Here is a 14,009-nt window from a genome sequence, read left to right as displayed (position 1 = left end):
ATTAGGAGTACCAAATATTCAATTTTACTATAAAATTAACCAATCAGAACAATATGATATAATAATATAGGAATAGGTAACCATAGCAGAATAGATTAGGAACAGATATAAGTATATTTGGGATCTTAAAATATGACGAAGGGACATTTCATTTGAATTGAGGAGAAAGAATGGATTATTTAACTGTTACTTTAGACTTTTAGTCTTATAGACTCTGTCTATAAGAAAATAGTCTTCACACTTTAATCAAAAGTAAATTGTCAGGATAGGGTCAGTTCAACGTTAGGGTACCCCGACGTGGTGGCTCACGCCTGTAATCCCAGCACTTTGGGACGTCCAGGTCAGGAGATCAAGACCATCCTGGGCAACGTGGTGAAACCCCGTCTCTACTAAAAATACAAAAATTAGCTGGGTGTGGTGGTGCGTGCCTGTAATCCCAGCTACTTGGGAAGCTGAGGCATGAGAATCACTTGAACCCAGGAGGCAGGGGTTGCAGTGAACCAAGATTGCGCCACTGCACTCCAGCCTGGCGACAGAGCAAGACTCTGTCTCAAAACAAACAAACAAACAAAAACGTTGGGCCTAGTAAATACAGCAAGTAGGCCAAAGACACAGGATTTTAAATATATTCTGCTTCCCTAATTTTCAAGGCTTTAAATATGCGAAATTAGTTTCTTTGGTTTAACACACATTTCCTATGTTTGTAATTTTAACATATAGTAATAAAAGGAATTTGAATTTTTTCAAGACTCTTTAAATCTTAATGTCAACTCAGTAATATCCCTGAAACAATATCTTCATTCTGTAATAAAACCTTAATTTCAAGGCATTCATGTGTCTTGTACTCACTAGCCTTCATGCTAAGTGCTACATTATCATTATTGTAGTTAGGTAGATGAGAAAATGAAATGTCACAGAGATTAATTTTTCAACATCCACTTACAACATGGAGTCAGTATTTGAATACAGGTTTCTCTGACTACAAAACCCATTTTTCCACTATGTCTAGTTTTCTCCCTCACTTAAAAATAATATATAATGTACACACAAATACACATGTATATGTAATACATGCTTATAAAGCAATGTAGAACATAAAGTTATAACATCAGCTGTAATCTAACAACCTACAGAATCTCAGTGAACAGTTTGATGTACTCTTCTCATCGTTTCTTTACACCACATACATACCCATAAGGATCCATATCTAAAATTAGTTGGCTTCTGTTTATTATATACACCTGAGAAAAGCCCATTCTGATATTTTTACAGTATTAGAAATGGGAAGAGACACATATGGTGATAATTACTATATTCTACGTAGTAGTGGTTTCTAAATGCTGATCTATAGGCTGATGCTGGTTCTAATAAAGTTCTTACTGATCCAAGGTGAAATAAGGAAAACATAATGATAATATGAATTTCTTTCAATGTAGGGACTATCCTGTATTCCAAGTTTTTTCTTTCATTGTTTTTTTGGGGGAGGGGGTGGATTCAAATGTTCATTCTTCTAAAATCTTGGAAAGCTGTGTTCCATTGTTGTAGGTGAAGATGATAATAATGATGATATTAGCTCTTTGCAAAATACAACAATGGTAACCCTGTGTTGTTCTCTGCCCCAGTCTTTAAAAATTTTGTTTTACTGCTGTATGAAATTTAGAAGTTTTGTAATGACTGCTGATCATCATCTTACACAGTTTCTTGTTAATTAGCAGCATATGTAATTAACTGCATAAATATTTGACCCAGTCCTGTTGACCTTGGGATACAGTATATTGATTTTTCACCCTTATTAGTTTACTGAGTACATTTTATTTTTTTCATTCACAGTACCTGGTTATGGATTATTATGTTGGTGGGGATTTGCTTACTCTACTCAGCAAATTTGAAGATAGATTGCCTGAAGATATGGCTAGATTTTACTTGGCTGAGATGGTGATAGCAATTGACTCAGTTCATCAGCTACATTATGTACACAGGTAAAACAGTCCTTCATTGTACCTGGCTGTGAGTTACCATGTAATATCTAGCAACAGAGGCCTATTTCTTGCCAGATTTATTAATTATGGTCTTGGATACATTTATCGTCAACCAAAAAAAATTATTTTGAGATGATTTTGGTTGTTTTGCTTTGTTGTTGTTATTATTTGTCAGCATTACAGAACCGATGTGCCTGCTTATACATACATGTACATGTATAGTATCTAAAAGTTGTCACTCCTAGAATAATAGACATTGGAGACTAGGAAAGGTGGGAGGAGGTGAGGGATGAGAAATTACCTATGGGTACAGGGTACACTATTCAAGTGATGGGTACACTATATTGCATAACTCACAACCACACAATATGTCCATGTAACAAAGCTGCACTTGTACCCCCTAAATCTATGAAAAAAAAAGTTCTCGGCCGGTCACGGTTGCTCACGCTTGTAATCCCAGCACTTTGGGAGGTCAAGGCGGGCAGATTACGAGGTCAGGAGATCGAGACCACGGTGAAACTCCGTCTCTACTAAAAATACAAAAAAAAATTAGCCGGGCGTGGTGGCGGGCACCTGTAGTCCCAGCTACTCGGAGAGGCTGAGGCAGGAGAATGGCGTGAACCCGGGAGGCGGAGCTTGCAGTGAGCCGAGATCCCGCCACTGCACTCCAGCCTGGGTGACAGAGCGAGACTCTGTCTCCAAAAAAAAAAAAAAAAAAAAAAGTTCTCACTTCCAGTCAGCATTTCTAGAAATCACTTCTTAAAAAACCACTCTTGTTTAAATGTACATATGAATTCCATCTCAAAAGGAGTATGCATTGGTCAGTTTCCTTATAGTTGAGTCTTACATATTTAAATTAGCTGGAATTCTAGACCATAAGTCATAGGTTCATTTGCTAAATAAGTCCTGTATTATATATTTTATGTTTCTCAAGAAAATACTTTCAAGGATTGTATGTGTCAAAAGAGATTTTTTTTGTATGAAAGTGATAATTTTGATGTTCATGGAGTAATTATAAACTATTAATACTTTATATTTAAAAATTTTAAAAATACCAGCATGAATTTGGAAGGACACACAAAAAATAAGAAATAAATTAAGGATATATTGGATGATTTAAAAGGTACCCTCACATTTTAAGAGGAAAGTAGGAAACAGCAGAACGTTGTTGGTGAATTAATCATTCAAATGAGAGTATCTTTGGATGGTGCAAAATGTGAGAAAGAGAAAGATGCTGAGGAGAAGTACGTAAAGGGATACTGCCAAGTTAGAAATAAACTAAACCATTTTCTAAGAGTGATTTTCAAACTTTGGCATGCATCTGAATCCTATGGAGGAAGGGTGGTTGAAACCCAGATTGTTGAGTCAGCTGCAGAAGTGCTGATTCAGTGGGTTGGGTCGGGCTGGGGAATTGCCATCTCTAACAAGTTGCCAGGTGGTGATGCTGCTGCTGGTGTAGTGACCACACTCAGAACTATGCTCTAAGACAGCAGTGACTGTTTCTTTTAAGTTTTGGGTGGTGAGAGTGATCTCTGAGAAGAACATGAATGTGGCAAGGAGTAGAATGTTTCTGTTTCAGTGTTTGCTTTTTAAGATGTGGGTGTCTTAATTGCTGTTTCATTTAATTAGTATTGAAGTTCTAAGACATTATTAAAGGAAGACTACTTTAATTAAACAATTTGTATTTTATCAGATCTCTGTTTGGCTTTTGCCTATTCGTGTGCTTTTCTCTGTGGGTATCTGATTGTCACAGTTTTTATTGAAAATAAAGATATGGAAATGCTTTGAAAATTGTACAATGCAGTTTTTTTTTTTTAATTTAAATTTTTGTAGAGATGGGGGTCTCACTGTGTTGCTCAGGCTGGTCTTGAACTCCTGGACTCAAGTGATCCTGCCACCTCAGCCTCCCAAAGTGTTGGGATTACAGGCATAGCTACCACTTCTTGCCACAGTGCAGCCTTAAAGATGGTATTGTGGTCTCAAGAGTCAGTTATAGAATGAGAAACGAAAGTGCTATTTTGTGGCTTAAACAGTAATCCAAAATCCTAGCTGAGGACTATCATTTAAAAATACTTACAGAAAATACTATTTCGTTGAATATTTGAAGAATGTTACTAAACATAGAGTCTTAGGCTTGTGGAATTGAGAGATTTCACCCAGTTTATATGTAATTCTTGAGAAGGAATAACTGCTTCTGAAAATTATATGCCTAGATTGGTGAAAGTAAATATGAGGTATTTGTAGTATCTTTCATTCTGCCAGGCTTGTTAGAGATACTGTTATGTGGACTGAAAACCATTTCAACCTTGAGCTCTGCTTAAGTACATCTAATTTTACAAGGTACTTTTAAATGAATCGTATTTATTCCATTGTTGGGCAGCTCTAATATTATAAAATTTTATTTTATATTAAGCTGAATTTCTTCTCTTCTCTTTTTTTTGAGACAGAGTTTTGCTCTTGTTGCCCAAGCTGGAGTGCCGTGGTGCGATCTTGGCTCACTGCAGCCTCCGCCTCCTGGGTTCAAGCGATTCTTCTGCCTCAGCCTCCTGAGTAGCTGGGATTACAGTCATGCGCCATGAAGCCTGGCTAATTTTTTGTGCTTTTAGTAGAGGTGGGTTTTCTCCATGTTGGTCGGGTTGGTCTCGAACTCCCTACCTCAGGTGATCTTCCCGCCTCAGCCTCTGAAAGTGCTGGGATTACAGGCATGAGCCACCGTGCCCGGCCTTGAATTTCTTTTTATTTTAGTCATTGGTTCTAGTTTTGCTTTTAGAGTCACATATAATTTATTTCTCTTCTAGTTATCATGCTTTCTGAAGTCTTCTTTAGGTTAAACATCTAAACATCTCTAGTTTCTCTGTTATAACAATTTGTATACACTTCCTACCTTCCTTGTCTTAACCCCCCACCACACACTCTGCCCATTCCTACACCTCTTCTCCCTCCCTCCTTTTCTCTACTTTTACCTTTCTGTGGATGCTCCATTGTGTTAATGTGCTCCTTAAAATGTTATTCTCATTTTCTGGATAGACTATTTTCAGCAAATGCTTTACTGAGGAAATATTTTTTGAGTCCTCTTTTATAAGTAACATTGTGCTAAACTATGTGGAATTGTAAGTAAGTGGGTATAGCATATAGTTGTGGCTTTTGAAAAGGTTTCAGTTGTTTGGAGGCACAAAACCTAAGATAGAAATAAAACTTAAAATACCACAAGTTAAATAATCATTTAAGGCCAAAGTATAAGAGATGATGGAGTGAGTCCAGACTGTGGATTGCTAAATGAGTTATACAAGCAAATTACAGTGAGCTCAAGAAATGAGTAATAAGTTTATTTCTAATGATCAGTTCTAATCCTTATTTAACTCTTTGTGCTATTCACTGTATTCTAACACAAATTCTGTGATTCAGATGTCATCTAAAATCGACGTTGCCCCATTTTATAGATGAGGAAACCCAGCTTCAGAGACATTAGTTAGTAAGTAGCATAGCCTAGATTAAAATCTAAGTCAGGCTTGTCTCCAGATTTATGTTCTTTGCACAACATCATGTTTTCCATAGAAGACTTTAATGGAGGGGCTTTGAAGGATGAGAAGACTCTGTAGGCAGATAGGAAGACATTCAAGATAGGTGAATGGTAGGAGAAAAGCACATAAGAAGGTAAATAGTAGTTTTGGAAAATACTTAATAGACTAGTTTGGCTAGAGAAAAGAGTTCATGTTGAGTTTAGTAGGAGATTAATTTGTAAAGAGATTTTGGTTCTTATCATGGAACTCTTGAATGTCACAGACTTTGTATCTTGGTAGCTAATAAACTACAATGAATTTCAGGCAATGAAATTTGAAGGTAAACTTCATGTCTTAGAGTTTTATGAAATTTATCAAATTTCCAAATGTGTTATAATTCATGAACTTAAAATATAGGGATGTGGAGAATACAACAAGGGACTAGTGAGACTGTTGTGTTTAAGGAAGGAGATACTCTCCTTTTTCTTGTGTTCTTTTTAAGGAAATATATTTCTAGACTTGTAAAAGTATGTTGTTTGTCTTCTATCAGCACAAAAACTCGCATATGAAAAAATTTGCACAAAGGTTTAACAAGAGCAATGGAAAATAGCAAATGGTACGAATAATTAAAGTAAAATATTTTCTAATAACATTGAGTAGCCAAAAAGCACTGGACTAGGAATCAGAAGATTTAATTCCATCACCTATCAGATTCCCCATGTGTTAAAGGAGGATAATAAATAATGTTTACTCTGCTTGTTTTGCCAGACTATTGGGAAGGTGAGATGAAATGTGTATATGAAAGTGTTTTGACAGTATAGACAATATGCCATTGCAATTAGGGAAACATCTTTTTGCATTATAAATTTGAGGCATTAAAATTATTATAAATAAGATAGTTTCATCCTTTGGTTCTATAATTCTAAATACATTTTTCTGTCTAGGTCTATTGAGAATATTTCTTACTCTTACTTAGTTTTCATTTCTGATTTTCCCTTCCTTTCTTTGGGCAGTATTTTTCATAAGCTTTTGTGTGTGCTAAATTTTATTTAAGAAATGCAGGGGTATAAGCATATATTTCTAAATTTGCTTGCATTTCCTAAGGAAAGTTTTACAACTGGGATACACCGGCAGTTGTAAAAATGGTTGCCTAAAGAGAGTAGGGTGGAGAGAAAGTGGGATGGACAGGGATAGGAATGAAAGCTCAATTTCTAAGTGAATACCCTTTTCATATATACTTTTTAAATCAGTAAACTTCCTTATTTAGAGCAGTTTTAGGATCTTAGAAAAATTGAGTGGAAAGTATAGAGTTCCCCTTATATCTACTCCCGCCCACCACACACACACACGCACAGCCTCCCCCACTATCAACATGCCTTACCAGAGTGTGGCACATTTGTTAACATCAATGACCCTTCATTATCACCTAAGTCCATAGTTTACATGTTTACATTCGTGTTCTCTGTTGGTGTTGTACGTTCTGTAGGCTTTGACAAATGCAGAACAACGTGTATCCGCCATAATAGTATTATGCGGAATAATTTCACTGCCCTAAAAATGCTCTGTGTTCCACCTCTTTATTCCTCCCTTCCCGCTAACCCCTGGACATGACTGATCTTTTTACTGTCTCATAGGTTTGCCTTTTCCAGAATATCATATAGTTGGAATCGTACAGTTTATAGACTTTTCAGATTGGCTTCTCTCGCTTAGCAATATTTAAGGTTTGATAGCTCATTTCTTTTTAGTGAGTAACATTCTATTGTCGGCATGTACCATAGTTTTCCATTTACCTACTTAAGGACATCTTGGTTGCTTCTAAGTTTTGGGAATTGTGAATGAAGCTGCATTTTATATGATTGCTTTTTTTTTTTCCCTCTCTCTCTTTTTAGCATTTCAATTATACTTCTATTTTTTAACTTTTCTTAATGGTTACCCTAGAGTTTGCAATATAAATTTACAACTAATCTCAGCCCACTTTGAAATGACATGGTACTGCTTCATAGGTAGTGAAGTACCTTGTAATAACAGAATAATCCTAATTCCTTGTTCTTGTCCCTTGTATCATTGCTGTCATTTATTTCATGCATAAGTAATAATTCATATTTGAGTACATTGTTGGCATTCTTTTGATCAAACTGTTATCTTTTAGACTAATTAAAAATAAAAGGTAAAAGTTTTTATTTTACCTTCACTTATTCATTCTCTGATGCTGTTCCTCTCTTTACATAGTTCTGTTTCTGATTTGTATCATTTTTCTTCTTTTTGAAGAACTTTTCAATTTTTCCTGAAATATAGTTTTCCTGGCAACAAATCCCCTCAGTTTTTGTTTGTCTGAGAATGTATTTCTCTTTCACTTTTGAAGGATAATTCTGCAGTATATGAAATCATAGGTTGGTGAGGCTTTTTTTTTCTTTTAAATATTTCACTTCACTCTCTTCTTACTTGCATGATTTTTAAGGAATCAGATATAATTCTTATCTTTGTTCCTCTATGCATAAGGTGTTTTTTTCCTCTGGCTTCTTTCAGGGTTTTTTTCTTTATTTTTTTATATTCTGTAGTTTGAAAATGGTGTGCCTAGGTATAGTTTTTTTTTTTTGGGGGGGGGGTGGGGGGTGCCATTTATCCTTCTTGATATTTTTTGAATTTCCTGGCTCTGTGGTTTGATGTAGGAAAATTTTGGGGAATTATCAGACATTATTGCTTCATTCCATTTCCTTCTGGTATTCCCATTACATGTAACTTATACCTTTTGTAGTAATCCCACAGTTCTTGGATATTCTGTTCTGTTTTTTTTTTTTTTTCCAGTCTTCTCTTTGCTTTTTTCATTTTGAAGTTTCTATTATATTCTCAAGCTCAGAGATTCTTTTCTAAGTGGTGTCTAGTCTACTAATGAGCTCATCAAAAATATTATTTATTTCTGTTAGTGTTTTTGATCTCTAGCATTTCTGATTCTTTCTTAGACTTTCCATCTTATTTATCTGTTCTTGAGTGTTGCCTACTTTAACCATAAAATCTTTAACATATTAATAATAGTTTTTAAAATTCCTGGTCTGATAATTGCAACATTGTTGCCATATCTGACTCTCATTCTGATGTCTGTCCAGTCTCTGTCCCGTTTTTAGTATGCCTTGTAATTTTTTGTTGAAAGACAGATATGATGTTGTTAACCTTAAATAACAAGATTAGAAAATAAGTATAGACTTTGAGCCCAAAGCTTGAGGATGGCCACCAGAGAGCATAGATTCTATTTGCCTTGAATATACATTCTGATTAGCAGTGTTACAAGTGGGTTTTTAAGGAAAAAAGAAAAGGCAGTTCCTAAGTTGTTACCAAGAATTTACATTAAAATATCAGAAGCTCTTGGTTAGCTATACATTCGTTCTTTGTATCACAAACTCCAGGAACGAGAAGACGATGGGTGAGACAGGTAGCCAGTAAAATGCCTTCAAACAATTGCCCCTGGGTTTGAGGGGCCAGTGACTGAAGTCCCATATTCATGTCTCTCTGGGCCTACTAAATTTTGCATGCCTCACATAGCTCAGACTGCTTTGAGCTCTTTTTCTTTTCTCAATGTATTGGGCAAAAGGAATTGCAGTAAGTGGGCCTTGAGTGATGTAGTGGCAAGGGGCGTGTGTGTGCATGTATGTGTTGGTAAGGGGCCATTCTGTGGTCCTATGATTAGGTCCCAATCTTTAGTGAGGCTTTGAGACTGCACAGTGAACACCAGGGCTTCTCAGCTTCTCAGTACCCCTGCCACCTCTGTACCTCCCTTCCTGCCTTCCTGCTTAGTTGGGACAGGATGGCTAGAAGGTGCCAGACTTGGGTATTGCCCCTCCTTCTGGTAGGTTAGTCTCTGATAATACCCCAGCAGGTTAGGCTCTGAAAAATTCCAAACAGATTAGGCTCTGTTAAAATAGTTTCTCCTGAGGGCAGGCCTTCTTAAGAAGAGAATACTCTGGCATATTTCAGAATGCAGCAGATATTCTCTTTTCTCCTCCCTCTGTTGGAAGCATGAGGGTATGTTTCTCTGGTATTCACTATGAGGACCTGGTTGAGCTCTTAGTGGTAAAACTCAAAAATAAATGTGCGGCCTCCCTATGACTGGGCTGCCTTTGGAGTTTTTAATCTTTCAGGCTTGTCCACACTGAACCTCCAGCAATTCTTCAGTCACAGTTTAGGTTTTCCTAACCAGGCACTGGTTCTCTGCAAGGTTTCTGCTGTGGGTTTTTAAACTGCCAAGTTGTGATTCTCCATAGCCACCTGTCTGTCCAATTTGGGGACAACAGTTTGCCCTGTGACCTTACTTCTCTTACATATCTAAGAAGAGTTGTTGATTTTTCAGTTTGTTCAGGTTTTTACTTTTTGTTAGGATGCTGTGGTGACTTCTGGACTCCTTACATACTGGAAGTGGAAGTCTCCCCATAATCTTTTAAAACTTAGATTTCAAAACAACATGTTTTATCATTGTGATACGGCTCTGATGAGTGGAGGAACACCAGATTCTTCCTCTTAAGTTGAATTAGAAAAAAAACGACATGGACACACGTGGAGTAGTTTTAAGGAGCAGGGAGTTTAATAGGCAAGAGAGAAGGGGGAGGAAAGAAAGAAAAAGCTCGCCTCTACAGAGACAGAGGGAGGGGGGCTCCAAAGCCAAGAGACAGAACCCCACTTTCAGGTAGTATCAACCAGCTATACTGGAAGGCTGGAGGAGGCAGTGTCTGATTTGCATAGAGCTCAGGGCATTGGTTTGACCAGGCATGTCATTCACGTAGCCGGCGAAAAAACTGGCCCTCCCACCCTCTCTTTTTAATATGCAAATGCGGGGCACCATGATGTTCCAAACACGTGGGGATATGTAGGGGCAGCCATACTGCCAGGCACATGTGGGGGCAAGGGCAAGAGGACAACGGTGGGAATCGCCATGTTAGGTGGACCCAGTTTCTAATGGCTAACATTTGCATATCAAAGGTTGCCAGCCCGGGTCTAAGACCCAAGGCTTTCATTCTAGATAAGAGCTGCGAAAAATCTTCCAAGGACCCCTTTTTTTCCTATGTGCCTAAAATAATTTCTTAATAACTCCTACCTCAATTGAGGGTACAGCAACCAAGAACTTTGTTTTTTTAAAAAAAAAAATTTCTTGTAAAGATGAAAAGATTTCCAAAGATGCTAATTAAAGTGTTAAATGACTAGCTGGAAAAATAACAGCTTGTTATTTTATTGAGAAACCTAAGAACGGTATGATGTTATAAAGATAAACACTCAAAGGGGCTATTACTATTATTTTCTACTGAGAATTACCCCAGTAGCCTTCTCCCTTTTGAAGGAGGCAGGGAAATGATGCAGTGGTATTGAGGAGTGAAGAAAAATGGTATTAGTAGAGCAGCTAATAATACTGGTGCATATTGTTTGGAGGAAGTAGAAATAATGAGTGGCTAGTAGATTTGAAATGCTTTAAGCATTAAAGATGTCAGTTCTTCCCAAATTGATCTACAGACTTAGTCTTTATTCTTTATTTTTTTTTCATGTTCTTTCATGAGGTGGCAAATCTATAGGTTTATTGCAGTCTCTCAAAATCCTAGCAAGATTCCTTTAGATAGAGACAAGCTTATTTTAAATTTTATATGGAAAGGCAATAGAACTGGAGTAGTTAAACAGATTTTGAAAAAGGAGAATAAAGTGGAAAGAATCACTCTACCAGATATTAAGCCATGCTATATTGCCACCTTAAGCAGGACCATGAGATAATTGCGATGTAATAAACACACAGATCATTGGACGACATTAGCAAGCCCAGATGTAGGCTAACAGAGGTATTTTCAACTGATTTTGAGAAAGGTGCAAAAGCAAAAATAATCTTGAACAAATGGTGCTCAAATAAGAGACCAAAAAAAAAACCCCAAATAACTTCCCCAAAGCTCTCATAAATACAAAAATTAATTCAAAATGGGTCATGGATTTAAATGTACAACATAAAACTATAAAACTGTTGGAAGAAAATATTGGAGAACATTTTCTGGATCTAGGGCTTGGTAAGGAGTTTTTAGATATGACAAAAAAAATCAATAAAAATGAATAAATGGGACTTCATTAAAATTAAAATTATGTGCTCAATGAAAGACCCTGGTAAGACTATAAAAAGACAAGCTACAAAGTGGGAGAAAATAGTTGTCAACATACCTTACAAAGGTTTTATATCTAGACTATATAAAGAACTCTCAAAATACAATTAAAAAGCCCAAGCAATCTAATTACAAAATAGGGAAAAGACAATAGACATTTCACCCAAGAGGAGATAGAGATGGCAAGTAAGCACATGAAAAGATGTTCAATATACTGATATTGAATTTTACGAAAATGCCAGTTAAAACCATAATGAGATATTATTACCCACCTGTTTGAACAGTTAAAATAAAAAGTAGCTAATACTAAATGCTAGCAAGGATATGGAGAAAGTGGATCTCTTACATGTTGCTGGTAGAAATAGAAAATGGCACAGCTACTTTGGAAGACAGTTGGACATTTTTTAAAAGAAGTTAAGCATGTAACATGATCTGACCTGTCAGTTACATTCTTGAGCATTTATCCCAGACAAGTCAAGATTTATATTCACAGAAAAATCTGTACTTGTGTGTTCATAGAGGCTTTATTTGTAATAGCAGAATACCGGAAACAACACAGGTATCCTTCAGTGGGTGAATAGTTAACAAAACTGGTATATCCATGCAGTGGAGTACTACTGAACAATAAAAAGGAATGAACTTCTGATATATACAATAACCCGGAGGGGCCTCAAGGGTGTTATGCTTTGTGAGAAGAATTAAATCTCAAAATGTTACATACTGTATGTTTCCATTTATATAACATACTTGAATGACAAAATTACAGAGATAGAGAACAGATGAATAATTTCCAGGGGACAGGGCCTGGGGAAAATGAATGGGGGAGTAAGTAGAAATACAAAGAGGCAGTCAGTGTGAGGGAGTTCTTTTGTGATAATGGAACAGTTATATATTGTGATTGTGGTGGTAGTTACATGAATCTATACACAAGATAAAATTGCACAGAACTATACATGTACACACATGTACATTTTTAAAATGGCATGTACTAGGCTTCTCCAGAGAGACAGAACCAGTAGGATATATGTATATATAAAAGGGAGTCAGTTAGGGAGAATTAACTGACACGATTACAAGGTGAAGTCCTATGATAGGATATCTGCAAGCTGGGGAAAGAGAGAAGCCAGTAATGGCTCAGTCCGAGTTTGAAAGCCGGAAAACCAGGGAAGCCGACATGGCAGCCTTCAGTCTGTGGCTGAAGTCCTGAGATTCCCCGGGAAGCTGCTGGTGCAAGTCCAAAGGCTGGTGAACCTGGAGTCTGATGTCCCAGGGCAGGGAAAGCGGAAGCAGGCTTCATGCACTGGAAGAAGAAAGAGCCAGAAGACTCAGCAAGCAGAATTATCCCACCTTCTAACACCTGCTTGCCCACATTGAGGGTGGGTCTTCCTCTTTCAGTCCGTTGACTCAAATGTCAGTTTCCTCTGGTAACACTGTCACAAACACACCCAGATACAATACTTTACCAGCCAATTAGGCATCCTTCAATCCAGTCACACTGACACCTAATATTAATTATCAGAGGGTGAAAACTGAAATAAGGTCTAGTCTAACACTAATGTACCATTGTCAATTTTTTTGTTTTATATTGTGCTACAGTTATCATATGTTACCATTGGGGGAAGCTGGTGGAAGAGTACAAGGGATTCATTGAACTATTTTTCAATTTCCTGTGAGCCTATTATTTCAAAATAAAAATTTTTAGGAAAAGGAAGGGCCTCTATGACTTGCTTTTCTAAAGACTGGAAACCAAGCCCAAGAAATTCTGTACCTTATATTTCACCTGCAGTGCATATAAATTTGGTGAGTTCCTCAAGATTGCCAAATTTGGTTAGGCTCTTTGGCCTACAAGGAAGTGATTTTTCTTACCAGCTATAAGGCTGGGATCTGTAATTCAAACTTTTGGGTGTTATTAACATGTAGATGCTATGCAAATCATGGGATAAGATGAATTCACTTTGCGAAACAGAGTAGGTAATAAAGAGAGTGCAGGACCGATGAGCCATGAGGACTCCAGGTGTTAGAGACTGGATAGATTAAGAGTAGCCAATAAAGAAAACTAAGAAGGAGCAGTCAGAGGTTAGGAGGAAAATCATGATAGCTGAGAGCATACCTACAATGTCTTACGGAAAATAAAAGTAATCATTTTCCCCTTATATTTAATTACATTAATGTCTTAATGGATGCATTTCAGGCAAACATTTATTATGTTTTTCCTGTGGATGCTAGTGTCCTGGGTGTTGGAGGTTGAAGTAGGGAAGGCTGTAGGGTATTGCCTGCTTTTATGTAAGTAATATACTTTTTACCTTCAATTTACTGTCTTTGGGGAAATGATAAAAGCTTAAGAAAATACTTCTACTTCATAGTTGTGCCCAAGTTGGACAGATGTTCATCTCAATTTTAATTTTGTAAAT

At 36.8% G+C, this 14,009-nt stretch overlaps 1 protein-coding gene across 25 annotated transcripts in view; it reads left to right on the top strand.

Annotated features, from left to right (window-relative positions):
* Window positions 1–14,009, top strand: part of CDC42BPA (CDC42 binding protein kinase alpha) — a 328,635-nt gene that overhangs the window by 122,728 nt on the left and 191,898 nt on the right. For all 25 annotated transcript variants that reach the window (NM_001366011.1, XM_017002580.3, NM_014826.5 and 22 more), the window contains one exon: window positions 1,831–1,979. In NM_001366011.1, coding sequence (NP_001352940.1) covers window positions 1,831–1,979 — 149 coding nt within the window. The remainder of the gene's footprint in view (window positions 1–1,830; window positions 1,980–14,009) is intronic.

Source organism: Homo sapiens, chromosome 1 (assembly GCF_000001405.40).
Source record: "Homo sapiens chromosome 1, GRCh38.p14 Primary Assembly".
In the NCBI taxonomy this organism is placed as follows: domain Eukaryota; kingdom Metazoa; phylum Chordata; class Mammalia; order Primates; family Hominidae; genus Homo; species Homo sapiens.
The sequence above is the reverse complement of the archived record's forward strand: the minus strand, read 5'-3'. Positions and strand labels throughout refer to the sequence as shown.